Here is an 18,961-nt window from a genome sequence, read left to right as displayed (position 1 = left end):
TGAGTTTGTCTGGACTCTCTTGATCATAAGATGCAGAAACACAATTCAAATCACCTTCAGCCAAAGGGGCCATTGATTGACTCAGCAATGGATAAGACTAACAGGAGATCATGCCTTATCCAGGCACGGATGGATCCAGGGATGTGTTGGCAGGGCCCTGGCCACACCTGCACCTCAAAGACAAGCCTCCTCCACTCTCGGCAGCCTTGTGGTAAAGGCCGCCCCTCTATGGTCCCAGGAGCTCCTGGCTGACAGTGAGAATTTTGATCCCTGATGCCCTCAAGTGACCAGCACTGGGCCAGGCACACAAATGGTGCTTAAGCAGTGCTTTCGGGAATGCTTTCACTGCGAGTACCTGGGGGCCTGTCAGCCCCCTTCCTTCCTTCCTCTGGCCTTCTGCCCACCACAGTGAGCCCTGGGAGTCTTCCGAAGCAGCCTTCTTGGTTCTGACAAGGTTTCCAGGGGGAGGTGGCTTTGCATGTCCAGAGCTACGAGGACAGATCCTGACCTCCTGCTGACGTGAACATGATGTTCTCACTCCTTCCTCTAGACACTGGAGCTCAGAGACGGCATGTGTGGGACACAGTGCCAGCTGGCGGCTGGAGAAGGCTCCCTGGAGAGTGGAGGGGGAGCCACCCCAGCAGCTGCCCATGTCTCCCCAAGGGCTTGGCTTTCGAAGTGGGGTGAGGCGTGTGAGTTCAATGGGTGTGGACACGTGAGTCCAGGGTGTGTGTGGACACGCATGTCACAGACACTGACAGTGGTCTCCTGCCTGCCCCACAGCTCCCTAGCCCCTCTCTCTGTGCCCGGGCCACAGGCCACAGCCTGGATGCCTCTCATGCCCAGGTCACAAGCTTCAGTGGCTCCTTCTTTAAAATGTGAAGGATGAAGCCATTGTGTCTGCTCCTCTCCTGGTATCCATCGGGGAGATGGAGGCCACTGTGGTCTCGGCTCTGCCCCTGCCTCAGCCCCACCTCCCCCAAAGGCCTCTGGGGTCTCCTTGCCTGTGGGTCTGGGGCAGCTCACCTCACTGTGGCAGCTCCATCCAGGGTTCCCTGCTGCGCCCCGTCCCCACACGGCCTGGGCCCCATCCCCGGGAGCACAGAGCAGTAACTGCACAGAACCAGAGGGAGACCATGAACCTCAAGCCCATATCCAGTGCTGGCTCCTCACAGGAGACCAGGTGTCACTCTTGTTGCCGCCAGAGCCTTCTGCAGACGCGCCAGTTGATGACCAGGCCTCCCCGCTACGGCTGCTCCCACCCAGGCCCGAGTACCCAGGCCCCGGGGCTTCTGAGGCTGCCTGGTCTGCTCAGGGCCAAGGGTGCCTCCAGGTCAGTGTGCCTCTGTCCATGGGACTGTGTGTGACTCTCTGTGGCGTCTCTGGCTGCAGGTGTTTTGCTGTAACCAAGTGACCTTGTTTTTGCAAAATCAAGTTTTGCTGTCTGTCCCTGTGACCTTGAATGGTCTGGCTGGCGGGACCCCAGGAGTACCACTGTGCCTGAGGACCTCCCACCCACTTCCCTCTCAGTCCCCTGGGCAGGAGGCCAGCTTGGGGCTTTCTCTCCCATTGCACAGGTTGAGGGTCCCAAGTGGGGAAGTGGCTCAGGGGGACTGGCTTGTGTCATAGAGTCTCCCCGGGGGCTTCCCCATGCACCACCCGGCCCTGCTTTTGTTGCTGTCACCATGCAGGCACCAGACCCGGGCCCGGCACCAGACACTACCTCACCCCGCCCAGGTCTGCCAGCCTGTGGGACCTCAGCCATGGCCAGCTGGCCAGTCTAGGAGCAGGGACAGCCATTCATAAGTCTTCCTTGAACAGACTTGTGTGTGCCGAGGGGTTGGGAGGTGGCCTTCTTTGCTGTTCATGTCTCAGACTCACGCGCTGGAGAAGGGAGGAGAGAGTGGACAGAGTGAATGCCCGCCCAGCCTGAGCTGAGCAACTGTGCATGGCACTTGCCCACAGGGAATCTGAGACTCCCCGTGATGAGCCTGTGAGGTGGAGACTCCTATACCCATTCAACAGAGGAGAAAGCTGAGGCCTGAGAGATCCCCTGACGCATTCAAGGTCTCACAGCTGGAGGAGGGGGAGCTAGGACGCCAGGCCAAACCTATCTGCCCCATCCTAGTTGGTGCCCGGGCTAACTATCCCATCACACACTCCCTGGCATCTGTGCCAGTTCTGTGCAGGATGTCATTGGCATCTTTGTGCTGGGGCTGGAGCTCTGCAGACAAGTGGCAGGGGGCCCTGCCCTGGAGGCCTTACCTTCTAAGCGGGTCCTTGTTTCCCAAGTCATTCCTGCCCATCGCACCCTCCCTACACCCCCATGCCCTAACTGAAAAACTAGGTGGCTTGCGTAGGGCTAGGACTAGGGTGGGCCCCAGGGCCCTAGTTTAAGGAGCTGCCCACTCTCAGGGCCGTGGAAGTGCAGGATGTCATCTTGCGGGGCCTGACGCCGCCCCAGCAGCTCTGCGTCCCAGGGACTGTGGGGTCCAGGCCCAGAGGAGGACAGAGCCACCTGGCCTGTGCTGTCTCCAAGGTCCAGTTCCTCTGCACAGCAGTGAGTATGAGGGAGATCGCTGAGGGGGGACCCAGTGACCCTGTGTGCCTGTTGGGCCTGTTCCTGGCACTGCCTTCCCCAGACCTGGTACATCCCTTCCTCCCCCAGGCCAGAGTCCAGTCTCCTGCCTTCCTGGGAAGTCAAAGCGGGCAGAGCTCTAGAGCATATGACCAGCCTCCTCGTCCCCCTGGTCCCTTGAGTTTTGCCAGCCTCCTCCTGGCCTCCTCCAGGGATTATCCTCCTCCTGCCTCTCTAGCCATAGATATCCCTGTCATGCAGCTCACCTGTTTCCAGGTCATTCACAGTGCTGGGGAGTCCTGGGGCTGGCCGGTGCCTCCTGGGCCTATCTCTGGGTCCCCAGCATGGGAGAAACACCAGGGATGCCCACCCATCACTCCTCCCAGGGCTTCTCAACTTTGAGAGAAAGCTTTTCATGTTTCCCGAGAGCCCCTGACCCTGTGAGGATCCCACCATGGTGAGCTGCCTTGGTCCCTGGGGGAGCATCATGCTGACTTGGCAGGCTTTGAGGCAGGGGTGGCATCATTTATTCATCCCCCTATTCATTCATTCATAACCTTGGAATGTCTGTTCTAGGTCAGGCACCATTCTGCACCTGGGCTGGAGCGAGGGGTGGGAGCCACCGGGGAGCTTTGGCCCTAAATCAGGCAGGATTTGATGAGAGTCTGGATTCAGTTGAGGAGAAGATAGGAAGTAACTGATGAGAATCAGAAGCCGACTCTGTAAGACAAAACCTACCCAGGCCCAGTTGTTGGATTAAATGAAAAGCAGCCTGACTAGCACAACTAGTCTAACTATTCTAACTAGTCTGTGCAGTTAGAAGTTAGGGTAGATTTGAACTGGGTTTCCTAACCTCAGTGCTTTGGACATTTAGGGGCAGACAATTCTGTTTGTGGGTCTGTCCTGCGCACCGTGGGATATTGAGCGGCATCCCCAGCCTCTATCCACTGGATGCGAGCAGCATTCCTCTCAATTATGACAATAAAAAATGTCTGCAGACATTGCCAAATGCCCCTGTAGGCAACATTGCCCCTGATTGAGAATCATTGGACTAGACTCTACTTGGGAATCCCCGGGGGGCTGGTAGTGTTCTCTTTCTGATCAGGTGCTAGTTACATGGAGTACTTACACTGTGAAAATTCTTCAAGCAGCACATTTACAACTGGAGCCCTTTTCTGTGTGTAGGTTACAGCCAGTAAGAAGTTCATTTAAAAAAAAAAATCACAGGAAAATAGGATGAAGGAATTGTTCTAAAGTTTTAGGGTTTTCAGCAACAGTGAATTCTGAAGGTGTCAACAGTGGAATAGAGTCTCATAAGAGCCCCCAAAGAAATCAATCTGAGGCTGTTTTTGAAAAATCATAGATCATCCCTCAAGAAAGTGGTCAGCCCCATACACTTAGACTGGTTGATCATTGGCAGATGGGCCCTTTCCCTGATCCCATACTTTTTTTTTTTTTTTTTTTTTGAGATGGAGTCTCGCTCTGTCGCCCAGGCTGAAGTGCAGTGGCATGATCTCGGCTCACTGCAAGCTCCGCCTCCCGGGTTCATGCCATTCTCCTGCCTCAGCCTCCCAAGTAGCTGGGACTACAGGTGCCCACCACCACGCCCGGCTAATTTTTTGTATTTTTAGTAGAGACGGGGTTTCACCATGTTAGCCAGGATGGTCTCGATCTCCTGACCTTGTGATCCGCCCGCCTCGGCCTCCCAAACTGCTGGGATTATAGGCGTAAGCCACCGCACCCGGCTGATCCCATACTTTAGGAGCTTCCTGGGCTCTGATTCTCCCAGGGCCCGACATACAGTAGGTCTCAGCGATGACACTGAGGGGGTGAAGATTGCACAGTAATATAGATGGCTAGTTGAGTGTGCGTGAGCTGTTTTCTGAGCTTTTTGCTGAACTGCTTTGAAATTTTAATGAACAAAAGTCAAGCATGATTTTATTATTGTTTTTATAGTTAGTGACAAACCTGAAAACAACCTAGAAGTACAATAATGGTGAATGGTTAGGCACATTTCTGTGTCTCCACATATTGGAAAATGAGGCAGTAATTAACATCTCTGCTTAGAGAGAGGCTTAACATGACATAACATTAAGGGAGAAAGCAGGACTGAAACCTACTTAGAGGGTGTTTTCAGTCAACAAAATTCAGACATAGAAAAAAGACTGGAAAATCAAAGAACTAAATAAATAGAGAGATATCCCATGTTCATGGATAGGAAGATTCAATATCATCAAGATGTCAGTCTTTATAGACCCGATGCCATTCCAATCAAGACCCTAGCAAGTTATTCTGTGGATATCAAAAAAGACTGCTTGCTTGCTCTGTCCAGGACCTTACAAAAAGACTATATGGACACACACTCAAACATCAGTAGATGTCACTGCATGTTGACATTACGAGTGATTTTAATTTTTTTCTTTGTGCTTTTCTGGATTTTCTGCAATCAGTATGTGTTACTTTTAACATTAGAAAAGAGCAATAAACTTTTTTAAAAGGAAGAAATGCAGAAAGAAAGAAGACAGGCCAGAGACAGGCTGAGGCAGATGAGTTTAGCAGCAGAGACTTTTCATAACTGACTGGATGGGGCCCAGGAGTGTCACCAAGGCTGGCTTCACACATCTCCTTCCTGGGATCTGGCAGACCCTCCTGTCCAGGGGTTCTGGTGAGGAGATCATCCTGCAGAGAAGCTCAGTTCAGGCTGGCCTGAGATCTGGGCCCCTCTGTGTTTTATATCTGCAGAGATGGAACACCTGGGAAGCATCCCATTTTCCATGGCTTAGATCCCATCCAAGAGGGGATTATTCCTCCAGCTGGGGTCTTTTACTTTAAAAGGCCTTTATAATAAATGATGGAGTGGATATTGTCAAAAAATTCAACTGCAGTTCACAGTTGAGTCTCTCTGTTTACAGAACCCACAGTGGAAAGGCCTCAAGGAGGCCTAAAGGCACTTAGGGACTTGCCCCTCATACTCTGCTAAGCCTTCAAGGCTAGAATCCAGTGCTACTTCCTCCAGGAAGCCTTCTCTGATTTCCTGGGCCCACAGAGCTTGCTCCTTTGCTTAAAGCACTTGACCAGCCCCATTATGGTTCACTGAGCTTTTTCACCCTTGCAATGGAATCTGGTAAAGGGGATCAGGCTGGGGAAGGGGACATGTCCCCTCTCTGCCACTTCCTGACTGCATTAATAAGCATAGTTTGACTTCCCCAAAAGCTGATTGGGGAGCAAGATTTTGGGAGTAAGTAGTTGTTGATCCCAGGAAGCCTTGGTAGGGGTGTGGGCAAGTGAGTCAGAGAAAGGAGGATGCATCAACACACAGGTCACAGCTGTGGGCAACTGGGGCTCACTCCTAGTGGGGCTCTCTGGGAGACTGTGGAGCACACCCCACTGAGGCACGAGAAAACTGATTTCACCCATAAACTGCTCTCCCTCCTGGTAGAGGGCAACTGTAGACATTGCCTCCCCAGCATGTCTGGCCTGCAGTGCGGACAGGTTGGCACACTCCCAGGCTGGTCCTGTGGCCTGAGGTTGCCACAGGCAGACAGACAGAAGTGGCCCTTAGCTGGAATGATGGAAGCCATCTGCAGGTGAGCTTGCCAAGGGTGGGCGGACAGAGCATCATCGGAGCCTGCTTCTGTGTCCTCCGACAACCTGAGGACCTCTGAGACTGCACCCATGTCCTGCACAGGAGCGGCATTTGATGATTAGCCTGTGCCGAGGGCCCAGGGGAGTTGAACAGTGAGACCACCTGCCTCTTCTCTGAGTCCGTGTCTCCTCTGGCCCAAAGCAGGTACTTAGGGAGGTTTGATGAAGAAAACAGAGGGTAAGGAGTGTTCATGCCAGCTCTAACCCAGTCCTGGAGAGGCCACAAAGCATTCATTCATTCAACAAATATTTATTGGCAGCCTGTAACTGCCAAGCCCTGAACTTAAGCCTGTCCCAAAGGCTAGTTGCAGCTCAGAGATCCTGACTCAAAAGTAGGACCCTTAGTCACTTGAAAAACAAGTGAAGGCAGAGGCTGGAGGTGCGGGGTGTGTTTACAGGCAGCGTGCGTGGTATGCACAGCTTGGGCTTTGGAATCAGATAAGCCCAGTCTTACGTTCAGTTCTGCCACCCTCCAGCTGTGCATCCTGGGCATGTCCCTTAACCTCTCTGAGCACATCTCCTCATCTGCAAAAGTGGACCACAAATGAGGTTACAGGGTCACCTGAGGATTTGATGACATCATGGACATCAAGTGCTCAGCACAATGCCTTCCACATGGTGAGTGGTCAACGTGGCATCACTATGGTAATGGGCATGTTAGATGGGTCTCTCTCTGCCCAGAATTTGTGCCGAGAGCAAAGATACTGGGTGCCCACACCTTCTGAAGAGGGAGCCAGAACCTCTCTGAAGGAGGGATCAAGGGGAGACTAAGGGGTGCTGGGTGTATCAACCTTGGCCCATCATCAGTTTGCTAAAAATGGCTGAGAGACTGGAGTGAGGGTGTTTTGGAGAGGACTGGGTGTTTCCACCCACAGGTTGGTAAAGAGGAGCATGCAGCCTGAAAGCCAGGTGAGGGGTATAGAGAGACTGCTCACCTGCCCAGAAGGAAGGGATGCCTTTGTAGAGCGTAGTGGGGCAAAGTGCCCAGCATTCCAGAGTGGAGCCATGGTGGGGCCTGCCCAAGGGTCTTCCTGCCAGGGCAAGTGGCTGCAGGCAGAGCACTTGGGGGGGTGACTCACAGAGGCAGGAGCTGGGGAAGCGACAATTTGTTTTTCTAAGGCCACTCAAGGTTACCCTCCCCCACAATAGAATTTGAGCTTGGCCAAGTGAGGGCTTGTTAGCAGCTGAATGGATGGACATCCCCATGAGCAAGTGCTTCTTGGCACACACATGTATGTGATTCTCTGGAATGAGCTTCTAGGAGCGGAATTGCTGGGTCAAAGGGGATGAGCATTTACCTCTTGAATAGACGGACAGAGCCAAACTGTCCTGCAGGGTCAGCGGGAGGGTGTGGCCACCAGCAAGGTGTGAGTGTCCTGTGTGCCCATGCCTAAGCATCCCTTAGATGAAAGTAATTCAGGGCCTTTGACTCTCCAGTAAGAAAAATTGAGGCAGAGAAAGCAGCCCAGTTTGGGGAGCACTTTATTTTCCAAACTCAGAAAGTCAGAGCCCATATCCCTCATCTTACAGGTGGGGAAACTGAGGCTTGGGAAAGGGAATGTGGTAGCTAGTCCCTCATCCCTGGAGCCTGCTGGCACTGTTCTACTCCTCAGGGTGTCTGGGAAGGGGCATTTTGGACCCCTGTGTTTCTGGAGGTGCATCTGAACAAGACTGGGCAGTTTGGGAGGCTGCTACAGGCTTAGTAGTTGGCTCTGAAAAAAACAAAAGAACAAAATATAGACTGTGTCTGCCAATTTCCATGGTGTAAATGCTCTCACTACAGCCAATTTCAAGCTACCAATATGATGACATTGAACTTGGAGAGGGGAAGTGATGCACACCATTGTGTCTGGTGGGAACCACTTGAGTGCGTGCCCTCATCGGCTGAGCCACCCTAGGTCCTCAGCTGTTCCTGATTCAAAGAGAACCAGAGAAGAAGCTGGGCAGGACAGCCACCTTCATCCAAACGTGTGTCCCTCTGGAGGCACAGCAACTGTCTTCCCAAAAGAGAGGAGGCTTTGACTGGGTTGGGTGTCCTTTTCCATGTGTGTGGCACACTATGGGGCAGGGTTTGCCTCAGGCCACTTCCAGGCCTGCCCCACTGCACTTGGTGGCCAAGACCCACTGCCCCCTGGACTGCATGGCTGTGACTATCCTGGGACCTTTATTGAAAAACCCTGTTGGAACCCCTTTTGTCAGAGGACCTTCCTGCACACATTCTTCAGCCTGCCTGTCAGGCCCTATTGATTTCAATAGGGATGGCACCAGATTCAAGAGGCTGAAGAAGAGACCCAGGGACAGCACCGAGACCTAGGGCTTCATTAGACGGAAGCTTACAGGGATGGACCAGTGGTGGCTGGGTGGACAGGAGAACCTCAACTGCTTGCAAAAAGCATGTGGTTTATGTAGCACTTTTCCTTGGCGCCTCCCCCTAACAACCTCCCTCCACCTGGCAACGTTCACATAACCCAAAACACAGGGTCTCAATCCCCTGTACGGCCTGCATTCCATAGGATGGGGCCAGGAGCTCAGATGTTACTCAGATAAGGAATGAAACTCTGGGTTGGCCACTCCCACGTTCCTTAGCTCAGAACTCTGAACATATATTCTTCTCAGACCATGGGGTCATTCTCAGGGTATGCTTCAGTTATGCTGTTTCTCTCAGGGTCATCTACCACCCACTGCTCCACAACCTTCCAAAACCCCAGGGGTAGCTGTTATCATCCTTCTTTTACAGGTGAGGAAACTGAGGCTTAGAAAGAGATCACTCTTCCAAGGCCACACAGCTAGTCCCAGGTCTCATGTTAGTTTCACTGAACTAGTGGCACGGATGACATAACAGCTGACACTTGGGCAATTCCCTGGCTGGTGCTGTGCCAAGCATCTTCTTCCTGAAACCACCACTTATGGGTTGTGCTGCAAGAGTAAGTTCTCCAACATCTCTAAGCTACAGTTTCTCCTGGAAAGACTGGATAAGACGCAGTGCACCAGGGCTTAGCACAAGGCCGGATACACATTCTACAGAACACCATGGAACAAACGTTATAGAAGAGATCGACTGCGCTGGTGACTCATGCCTGTAATCCCAGCACTTTGGGAGGCCGAGGCGGGCGAACTCCTGAGGTCAGGAGTTCGAGACCATCCTCAACATGGAGAAACCCCGTCTCTACTAAAAACACAAAATTACCTGGGCGTGGTGGTGCATGCCTATAATCCCAGCTACTCGGGAGGCTGAGGCAGGAGAATTGCTTGAACCTGGGAGGCAGAGGTTGCAGTGAGCCGAGATCACGCCATTGCACTCCAGCCTGGGCAACAAGAGCAAAACTCCATCTCAAAAAATAAAAAAATAAAAAGAGAGATCAACTGTTCTGGGATTCCTTGGGGGTAGACATCTAGACCTGCTTGAGTCAGAAGATGCCTTCATGGCCAGAGTGTCTGCTGAGCCCGGTGCCACTCGGGGAGAGAAAAATGACTCTGCAAAACAGTTCAAGGGACTCAGCGTTACTCAGGGAGAACTGGGAGGGGAAGAGAGGAAAGTGAAAGAGCAGGTGGGACAGGTTGGAGGGGAAAACAGCCCTCCAGTGATGACTAGGGTTCCAAAGGGAGCAAATCCTACTGTGGGGATCTTGAAAAATCTTCATGTCATTTGCTGAGAGGCTGAGATATGCCTTCCTTCCCTTGTACCCCAGGAAATTTTCAGTAAAGTTAATATTTGTCTCTTCTATATTTATGCAAGTGGATTCTTCTTGGGAAACACTGATGTTGATGGTGGTGATGATGATGATGGTGATGGTGAAGGTAGTGGTGATGGTGATGGCAGTAATTGTGACAATGATGAAGATAAGGGTGATGGTGATGATGATGATGGTGTTGATGATGGTGACGGTGATGATGGTGTTGATGGTGGTAATGATGAGGATGAGGGTAATGTTGATCATGATGGTGATGGTGGTAATGGTGATGATGATAATGATAATGATGCTGATGATGATAGTGATGGTGATGATGACAGTAATGGTGATGATGATGGTGTTGATGGTGCTAATAATGAGGATGAGGGTGATGGTGGTGATGATGGTAATGGTGGTGATGGTGATGATGATAATGATGAGGATGGTGATGACGAGGGTAATGGTGATGATGATGGTGTTGATGGTGGTAATGATGAGGATGTGGGTTATGGTGATGCTGGTGGTGATGGTGATGATGCTGGTTTTGATGATGGCGATGATGATGGTGATAGTGATGATGCCTGATATGGTGTGGCTCTGTGTCCTCATCCAGATCTCACCTTGAATTGTAATCCCCATAATCCCCATGTGTCAAGGGTGGGACCAGGTGGAGGTAATTGAATCATGGGGGTGGTTTCTCCCATGCTGTTCTCTTGATAATGAGGGAGTCTCCTGAGATCTTATGGTTTTATAAGCACCTGGCATTTCCCCTGCTTGCTCTCATTCTCTCTACTGCTGCCATGTGAAGAGGTGCCTTCTGCCATGACTGTAAGTTCCTTGAGGCCTCCCCAGCCATGCAGAACTGTGAATCAATTAAACCTCTTTTCTTTATAAATTACCCAGTCTCGGGTATTTCTTCATAGCAGTGTGAGAACGGACCCATACAATGCCAATAGTTGCTAATATTGGGGAGGGGAGTTTTAGTTTTAGTTTAACTTTGCCAAAATTATCCCATTTCATCCTAACAGAACCCCTTTGAGGTGTGCACCACTATTGTTGAGTCCCATGTACAGGTTGCACCAGGTGAAAGAGCTGCTCATGTGAGCACAGGAGTCCAGGGGCAGCAAGGAAGGGGATGTCTGGAAATTCTGAGGCTCACTACCACCCCCATGAGGAGGGACGGCTGTTCTGCTTCCTGTGCATAGAAGCTGAGGCCCAGAGAGGGAGAGAAGCTTACCTGAGTTCACAGAGCTGGGGGTAGCAGAGACAAGGTGGGAACCCAGGCAGGTTCGAGCTTTCACTAAGCACCAAGGTAAGTGCTAGGAATGCAGAGATGAATCAGGCAGACTCAGTCCCTGTCCTCAGGAGCTCCTGGTCTGTTGATGGAGACAGGCACGTAAACCGATGGCAGGAGAGGAACAAGGAGGCATACCCTGTGGACGGGCAGGGAAAGCTTCCCAGAGGAGGTGGCACCTGGTCCTGGGGAGAAGGGTAACCACATTCAGATAGTGGGCCCATGGAGGCCAGCAGGCAGGGTCATGCACGAGCAGCCCTCATAGTCTCAGCCATGACCCCATCCTGAGTCTCAAACCTTCAGCTGGCCAAGCAGGATGGCCGCCTCGGCAGTCACCTCTCCCAGACCTATTTTTAGATGTAATTGAGCATTAAAATCAAACACATTGTCAAGATAGTGGCCAACTTGGATCCCTTCCATGAACAGGCCCTCTTCGCTACACCAAAATAGAAGAAAATTTATCTCTTTGTGGATGACATGGACTTCTGGCAGAGGCTTTGACTTCCAGTGGACGGAGGCCAGATCACGACCCAGCCCTTGGATGACCTGGGCGCATCAGTGCTTCCTACCAAATACAGCATAAAAATGCATGCATAAAGGCTCTGCAGTTCATCTCATAAAAAGGCAGCTTCCTCCTGGGGCAGGCCATGGTGCCAGGCGTGTGTGAGCACGCTGACCTCAGAGAGGAAGCAGAGATCCTACTTGTTACAGTGAGTACGCTCAAGATAGTTTGTTATTGTAATTAATACTAAGTTGAAAGCCACTGGATCTAAGGCCTGGGAAGACTTTTTGGACCATCTTAGCAATACACAAGTTATCATAGCCCCAAGTTACTTATCATGATCTCACCATGTGCAGATACTGCACTGAATGCCTACATTTTAGGCATTGTCCCCGCATAACCACCCATGAGATGGATAATTTATTATTCCATTTCATGGATGACAGTATTGAGGCTCAAAAGGGGTAAGTAATTTGTCCTACTAGTTGGTAAGTAGGTGGTTTGGAATTTGAATTCAAATCTGTTGAACCCAAAGACTATGAGCTTAATTTCTCCATGACATTGTTCCTCTGTCTTGCAGTTCATCCTCCTCTTATTCACCCCCAAAGCCCAGCTCAAATGTCACCTCCTCCAGGAAGCACACCCTGTCTGCTGGATTGGATTGGATGCTTCGTCTCTCAGAGCAGTGATCACGCTAAGATGCTTTCTCTGCCAGACGGAGATCCCCCGAGGCCAGGGACTGTGTGTGACCATCTCTGTTAGCCTTCAAGCCCAGACCAGGCAACTCCCTCTGGAAAGGTCTGATGCCGGATCAACGAAGCTTTTCTTTCTATAGGAAAGGAAACCAAGGTCTAAGGGGAGGGGCAGTGAGCTGTGTAGTGTGGTGATCAGAGTCTTAGATCCCACGGTCAGAGTGGCATGGATTGCAATTCACACACTGCCACATTTTACTTTAGTTTATTTTGAGACAAGGTCTGGCTCTGTCGCTCAGGCTGGAGTGTAGTGGCGCGATCTTGGTTCACTGCAGCCTCGACCTCCTGGGCTCAAGCAATCCTCCCATCTCAACCTCCCAAGTAGCTGGACCACAGGCATGTGCTACCATGCCGGCTAACTTTTTGATTTTTTATAGAGATGGGGTTTCCCTATTTTTCTCAGGCTGGTCTTCAACTCCTGGACTCAAGCAATCCTCCTGCTTTGGCCTCCCAAATTGCTGGGATTACAGATGTGAGCCAGCGCACCGGGCCTCTGCCGTGTTTTAGACACGCTGGTATGGACAAGCTACCTGAGCTGTCTGAGCGTTCACTTTGTTAGGATGCAGACACTGCTGTTATCCCAGGGTTACCGTGAATGTGGAACCAAAAATCAAGCCTTTCAAGCCCTTAGCCTGGTATCTGGTGAACACTCAGAGTTCCACAAGTGATCATTTCTATTGACATGAAGAAACAAAACCAAACCAGACTTCATTGCCACACAGACTAGGGACAAAACAGACTTATCTCCTTGTTTTTTCTACAAAAAGCCCGTACCAGTGTGCCCCAGGAGTAATCTTTTTCACTTTGAAAGTTTGTGGCAAGCTATATATATATATTCCTCCTCCTCCTTCTTTTAACAACCTTTTAAACATATAGAAACCAGTCTTATCTTCTGGGCCATATAAAAACAGGCTGTGTGCTGGATGTGGTCTGCAGGCTGCAGTTTGCAGACATCTGCCCCGGAGAATTGGCTGGCCTGGGGAATCCCTTCTGAGGAGGATGAGGTCTGTAATGTGTATGTAACATTGGGGTCTGTTACATGTATGTACTACGATGTATTTAACATGAGGATAAGTAATATTAAAAGGACAATAACCATTTTTCAGAACAAATGAAAGCCATAAATAATCACATTGTGACAAAGCTGAAACACCAAAGACAGAGAATCTTTTTTTTTTTTTTTTTTGAGACAGGGTCTCGCTCTCTTGCCCTGGCTGGAGTGCAGTGGTGCAATCACAGCTCACTGCAACCTCTGCAACCTCTGCCTTCTGGGCTCAAGTGATCCTCCCACCTCAGCCTCCCGAGTAACTGGGACTACAGGCTCATGCCTAATTTTTAAATCTTTTTGTAGAGACAAGATCTCCCTATATTATCCGGACTGGTCTCCAACTCCTGGGCTCAGGTGATCCTCCCACCTCGACCTCCCAAAGTGCTGGGATCATAGGCGTGAGCCACTGTGCTGGCCTAACGAGAGGATTGTAAAATCCACTAGAGAGAAAAGACCATTTGCCTACAAGGCTGACAGTTATACTTTGGCATGCTTCTGACCCCACCACAATAGAACCCGCTGGCAGAACAAATGGCAGGTGACAGAAATCAGAACCGAGGCTGTGGTATATTTTAGATATTTCATTATCAGAATGCAACAGTGTGACAGGCCAGATGATAGATTCATAGGTTAACTATGTTTTCTATTTGTTATGTGCTTGAAATATTTCATGATCTTAAAATGTTCCTATCTAGAATATAAACAAGGCAAAAAGAGGTTAAACCGTGGGCTCTGAGGGCTGCACAACACCTAATGCACTGAAGCATCTCAGGTGTGCATCCCCACAGGTGTGTCCTGTGCCGCAGATGCTGCCTGTGGGGTTTCCACGCCCCCCATCACCCCACCCTGCTGACCGTGTCTTATTGTAAGTGCCGGTAGCTCTTTGCCTGAGTCCTCCTCTCTGCCCTCACCCAGGGCCTGCTGGAGGGGCCGGGCCGGCCACGTCTTCTAGAGCAGCCCTCGGCCAGGGACGACAGGAGTGGAGGAGGAACACCCAGCTCCCTCTCCCCTTGGTGGGCGAGGCTGCCGTGTGTCCCACACACCACTGCAGAGGTCACAGAAGGATGGTGCCTGGGCACCCACCAGGGCAGTCTGAAGAAGGCACATGGGCTCCTTTCCCTCCCTGTCTCGCTTCCCTGCTGTCCCACTAGGGCTTCCAGGGATCACCTCGCAACAAACCACTCACACCTGAATACTTGATTCAGGCCCGGCTTGGGGCCCTGGCCCTAGACAGCGTGCTCACACGCTAGACAAATGCTCACACGTGTGTGCCTGGCTCTCAGCTCCCGCCAGGTCTTCTTTACCCAAGATTCCACAACATTTATTCTGCACACCTGTCGGCCCACAACAAGACTAGCATTACTGTTGAGCCTAAGGAGGAAGAGGGTCCCGGGTGGTGATACAACCTGCAGGGTAAGCCAATGGTGGGCAGGAGGAGAGATGGTGAAGGGGCTGAGAAGAATGCAGGGGGCCTGGTCACGGCCGGGGGTGGGAGGCCTCATCCCAGGCGGGCCTGGTTGCAGGGCGGGGCATTGCAGGAGGCCTGGCTGCAGGGAGGAGACTGTCTCAGGGGGCCCTGGTTGCAGCAGGGGGCCCTGGTTGCAGCAGGGGGCCCTGGTTGCAACAGGGGGCCCTGGTTGCAGCAGGGATCGGGGGGTGTCACAGGAGGCCTGGTTGCAGGGAGGGGGCCGTCACAGGTGTCCTGGTTGCAGAGGTGCTGGCTACAGCAGGGCGTAGTCGCAGGAGTTCTGGTCACAGGGGGGCCTGGTCCTGGAATGACAGAAGGAAGCCAGGCATGAGGAGAAGGAGCTGGGCAGGTGCCTGGGCCGGATGAGGCCTGGCTGGGGATGCATGAATCCTGGGCACTGACTGTGGAGGGGACTCTAAAACTAGCCGGCCCATGAAGCTGAGCCGAGGAAGAAATTTACCCAAAGTGTCTCAAGCCCCTCACTGTCTCCGGGTCTCCGGTGGGCCTGAGGCAGGGTGAGGAAGGCCGCATCTGGAGGTGGGGGAGGGTGGGGGCACACACAGCAAGGAGCATTCCTTGGTCTCTGAGTCAGCATCGGAGCAGGGCTGAACTGGAGGGAAGGCGGAGCCACAGCACAGATGCAAAGGGAAATGTTTGGAAAGACTCGGTAACCTTGCAATCACGTTTCGGGTCACGAACTCTCTAAAAGCAGGCTTTGCTTCATTTCAGTGAATGTGAAAATACACAAAGGGGGCCTTGCTGGCCACCCTTGGCTGGAGTTGCCCCCGGCTTCCTGAGCTTCTCACATTGCCAGGCGCTGGCACAGAGCCAGCCTTGCAGGTGGCGAGGAGGCCCTGCAGGGGCACATTCTGTCTGCACGTGTGTGGCGGGAACCTGCCATGCCTACACTCTGCCACCCAGTGACTCAGGTGTGGCCAACCAAACATGGAGCGTGGTGTCCCCTGCACCCTTGCTTAAGGGCCAGGAGTCCCAGGGAATGCCGTCAGCCAGGGGAGAGTGGAGGAGCAGAACGGGTCTGTTTGGAAAGGGTTTCTCTCCTGAAGCAGGAGTGGGGACAGCAGCTCTGCAGTGCCTGCTGTGGCTGGGTCCTCAGACATGTCCATGTCCATCACATCCAGGAGGCCCTCCCTAGACCGTGCCATTCACGTTCAAGGTCAGAGCGTGCTGTACATCCGCCACTGCAATCTCCTCAGCAATGGCAGGAAGGTGTCTTGGGGAACAGGAAGCTTTTTCTAGTTTCACCAAGACATGCAACAGGCCAGAGGGGAGGAGGATCAGGTAACTGTTGTAACAACTCTGTGAGATGCATATTAAAGACTCCATTTTACAGATAGGGAAACTAAGGTTCAGAGAGATTGCCAAACTTGCCAGAGCCAGGGTTTGGCTCTGAACAGGGGCTTGCACCAACTGAAGATTCTGACAATTTCTGTAAGATGCATCTCAGCTGAGAGTGCAGGAGCCGCTGCTGAAGGACCAGGGAAAGAAGGCTATAGAGGTGCCGGGAGACCAGCACCACAGGAGGGCCTCCTGGGGTTTACAGGTTTGGAGCATGGACTGGGAAGAGGGAAAGAAAACCCACAGGTGGATTTGAGACTTGTTTGCAGATGAGCTGAACTGGGTGGTGGCAGGAAGCTCTCCAGCAATTCTGGAGATGCCAGGTCTCAAGGCAGGGGTCGGTATTCCAAACGAAGGTGCTCCTCATTGGGGATTGGAAGGCAGCCTCCCTGCCCTCTCCCCTCGGTGCCCCCTCAAGTGAAGCCTGCTGGTAGACACACCTGCCTAGCACCCACAGGTCAAGGCCAGCTTCTCTTTCAGGACAGAGACTGGAGATGTCCAAGAAAACCCACACAGGTGCTTAGCTGAATCTGCCAGGTCCTCCAGCCATATGTTCAAACAGACACACAGGACCAGCAGACCCTAGAGTAAGACCAGTGGCCAGGAGGCAGTCTGGGGTGGACAAGAGCTATAGAGAAAACAGAGCCCACCGTGCTTTCTAACAAGTTGTATTAAAAGCATATTAATTACTATCCCCAGAGAGATTTCAGATTTTGCATCCATAAAACGAGAATAGGCTACTATAAAGAAAGAAGCAATCTGAGAATAAGAAGGAGTACATGAAAAAAATAAAATAGAAGGAAAAGTCAAGGTAATCTTTCTGAATTTATATAGCCAAAGACGAAGAGGTAGAAAACTCAGAGTAATAAAATGGTAATAGCTAACAGCATATTATGAGTGGGTATCTATACTGTTTAATCATTCGCTCTCCAAGGGAGAATGATAATGAGCTCCATTTCACAGATGAGAAAACTGAGGAAAGAGAAATTAACTAAATTGGCAATGGCCACATAGCTAGAAAGTTTCAGAGCTGAAATTCAAATGCAGATTGTGTGGTTCCAGATTCTGTGCTCTAAACATAATATGATATTGATTCTGGAACAACCTAGGAGGGCAACATTTGTCGAGCAGAAGTTCAGAAAAACCCAATGAGTGATACCGCTGAAGCTGTGCTAGCGGGTAGTTTATACTTTCAGCATATGTTTTAAAGTTCTTCTTGAGAGGCAAATTAAACCCAAGGTAGAAAGTAGAAGACAAGAAATAATAAGGGTAAGAGCAGCAGTTAATGAAATAGAAAGCAAATATACAATGAAAAGGATCAACACAGCCAAATTTGGTTCTTTAAAGAGTAACAAAATTTAACCTCCTGATAAAGCTTGAGAGAGAGAACAAATAGCAAAGTCAAAAATGAAAATAGAGACGTAATTGGAGAAACTGAAGACATCAAAGAAATAAAAAGAGGAAATTATAAACAACTTTATGTTGATACATTTGACTTTTTTTTTTTTTTTTGAGGTGGAGTCTTGCTTTGTCGCCCAGGCTGGAGTGCAGTGGCGATCTCGGCTCACTGCAAGCTCCGCCTCCCGGGTTCACACCATTCTCCTGCCTCAGCCTCCCGAGTAGCTGGGACTACAGGCACCTGCCACCATGCCCAGCTAATTTTTTTGTATTTTTAGGAGAGACAGGGTTTCACTGTGTTAGCCAGGATGGTCTCGATCTCCTGACCTTGTGATCAGCCCACCTCGGCCTCCCAAAGTGCTGAAATTACAGATGTGAGCCATCGCATCCAGCCTACGTTTGACATTTTAGATGAAATGAACACATTCTCAGAAATACAACTTACCTAAACAGACACAAGAAGAAATGGAAAATCTAAACAGTCCTATAACTATTCAAACAATTAAATCCATAATTTAAACCATTCCACAAACAAGACTCCAAGAACAGATGTCAATTCTATTGCCATTTAAGAGAGAAAGAATGCCAAACTTATACAAACTCTCCCACAGAACAGAAAATAAATCTTCCCTCTTAACAAAATTTTAAGTATATAATATCATATAGCTGACTATAGAAACCATGTTGAACAATAGGTCACTAGAACTTACTCATCTTGTGTAACTGTAATTTTATAACCATTGAACAGCAGTTCCTCATATCTCTCTCTTCCCATCCCATGGTAACCACCATTATATTGTCTACTTCTATGCTTTTAACTGTTTTAGATGCCTCATGTAAGAGGAAGCATGCAGTATTTGTCCTTCTATGGCTTACTTGTTTCACTTAGCATAATGTTTTCCAGATATATCCACAAGAGAAGGAATTTTATATACATAAAACAAAGAGTTCATTTCTACAGTATATAAAAGAACTCCTGCCACACAGTAAGAAAAAGGCAATTTAAGAGAATAATGGGCAAGACTCAAACAGGTACTGCTCCAGAGAGGACATCTAAATTACCAATAAATACAGTACTTGAGAAGTTGCCAGACCTCCCTCATTAAGAATCATGGAATTGCAAATTGAAATCCATGAGTTACCGCTGCATGCCCACAAAATGTCTCACATCCAAGAATGACAACATCAAGTGTTGGTGAGGATGTGGAGCAACAGGAATTCACACACTGCTGTTGGGAGTGCAAAGTAG

At 50.5% G+C, this 18,961-nt stretch overlaps 1 long non-coding RNA gene across 2 annotated transcripts, besides 3 other annotated features; it reads right to left on the bottom strand.

Annotated features, from left to right (window-relative positions):
- Positions 7,245 to 7,745: an enhancer, noted in NCBI's record as "H3K4me1 hESC enhancer chr4:8325636-8326136 (GRCh37/hg19 assembly coordinates)". NCBI's record gives its function as "activates a minimal SCP1, AML or CMV promoter by ChIP-STARR-seq in naive H9 embryonic stem cells {active_cell/tissue: H9 hESC(naive)}" and the evidence as "EXISTENCE:reporter gene assay evidence [ECO:0000049][PMID:30033119]".
- Positions 7,689 to 11,478, bottom strand: LINC02517 (long intergenic non-protein coding RNA 2517). Of its 2 annotated transcripts, NR_149125.1 has the most exons (4): positions 11,132 to 11,478; positions 9,622 to 9,697; positions 9,411 to 9,528; positions 7,689 to 7,935 (listed from the first exon to the last, which is right to left on the bottom strand). It is a non-coding gene; the product is annotated as a long intergenic non-protein coding RNA 2517 (long non-coding RNA). The 2 variants fall into 2 exon arrangements; NR_149126.1 differs by lacking the exons at positions 9,411 to 9,528; positions 9,622 to 9,697.
- Positions 15,517 to 16,344: an enhancer, noted in NCBI's record as "H3K27ac-H3K4me1 hESC enhancer chr4:8317037-8317864 (GRCh37/hg19 assembly coordinates)". NCBI's record gives its function as "activates a minimal SCP1, AML or CMV promoter by ChIP-STARR-seq in naive H9 embryonic stem cells {active_cell/tissue: H9 hESC(naive)}" and the evidence as "EXISTENCE:reporter gene assay evidence [ECO:0000049][PMID:30033119]".
- Positions 16,345 to 17,174: an enhancer, noted in NCBI's record as "H3K4me1 hESC enhancer chr4:8316207-8317036 (GRCh37/hg19 assembly coordinates)". NCBI's record gives its function as "activates a minimal SCP1, AML or CMV promoter by ChIP-STARR-seq in naive H9 embryonic stem cells {active_cell/tissue: H9 hESC(naive)}" and the evidence as "EXISTENCE:reporter gene assay evidence [ECO:0000049][PMID:30033119]".

Source organism: Homo sapiens, chromosome 4, assembly GCF_000001405.40.
Source record: "Homo sapiens chromosome 4, GRCh38.p14 Primary Assembly".
NCBI classification, from domain to species: Eukaryota; Metazoa; Chordata; class Mammalia; order Primates; family Hominidae; genus Homo; species Homo sapiens.
The sequence above is the reverse complement of the archived record's forward strand: the minus strand, read 5'-3'. Positions and strand labels throughout refer to the sequence as shown.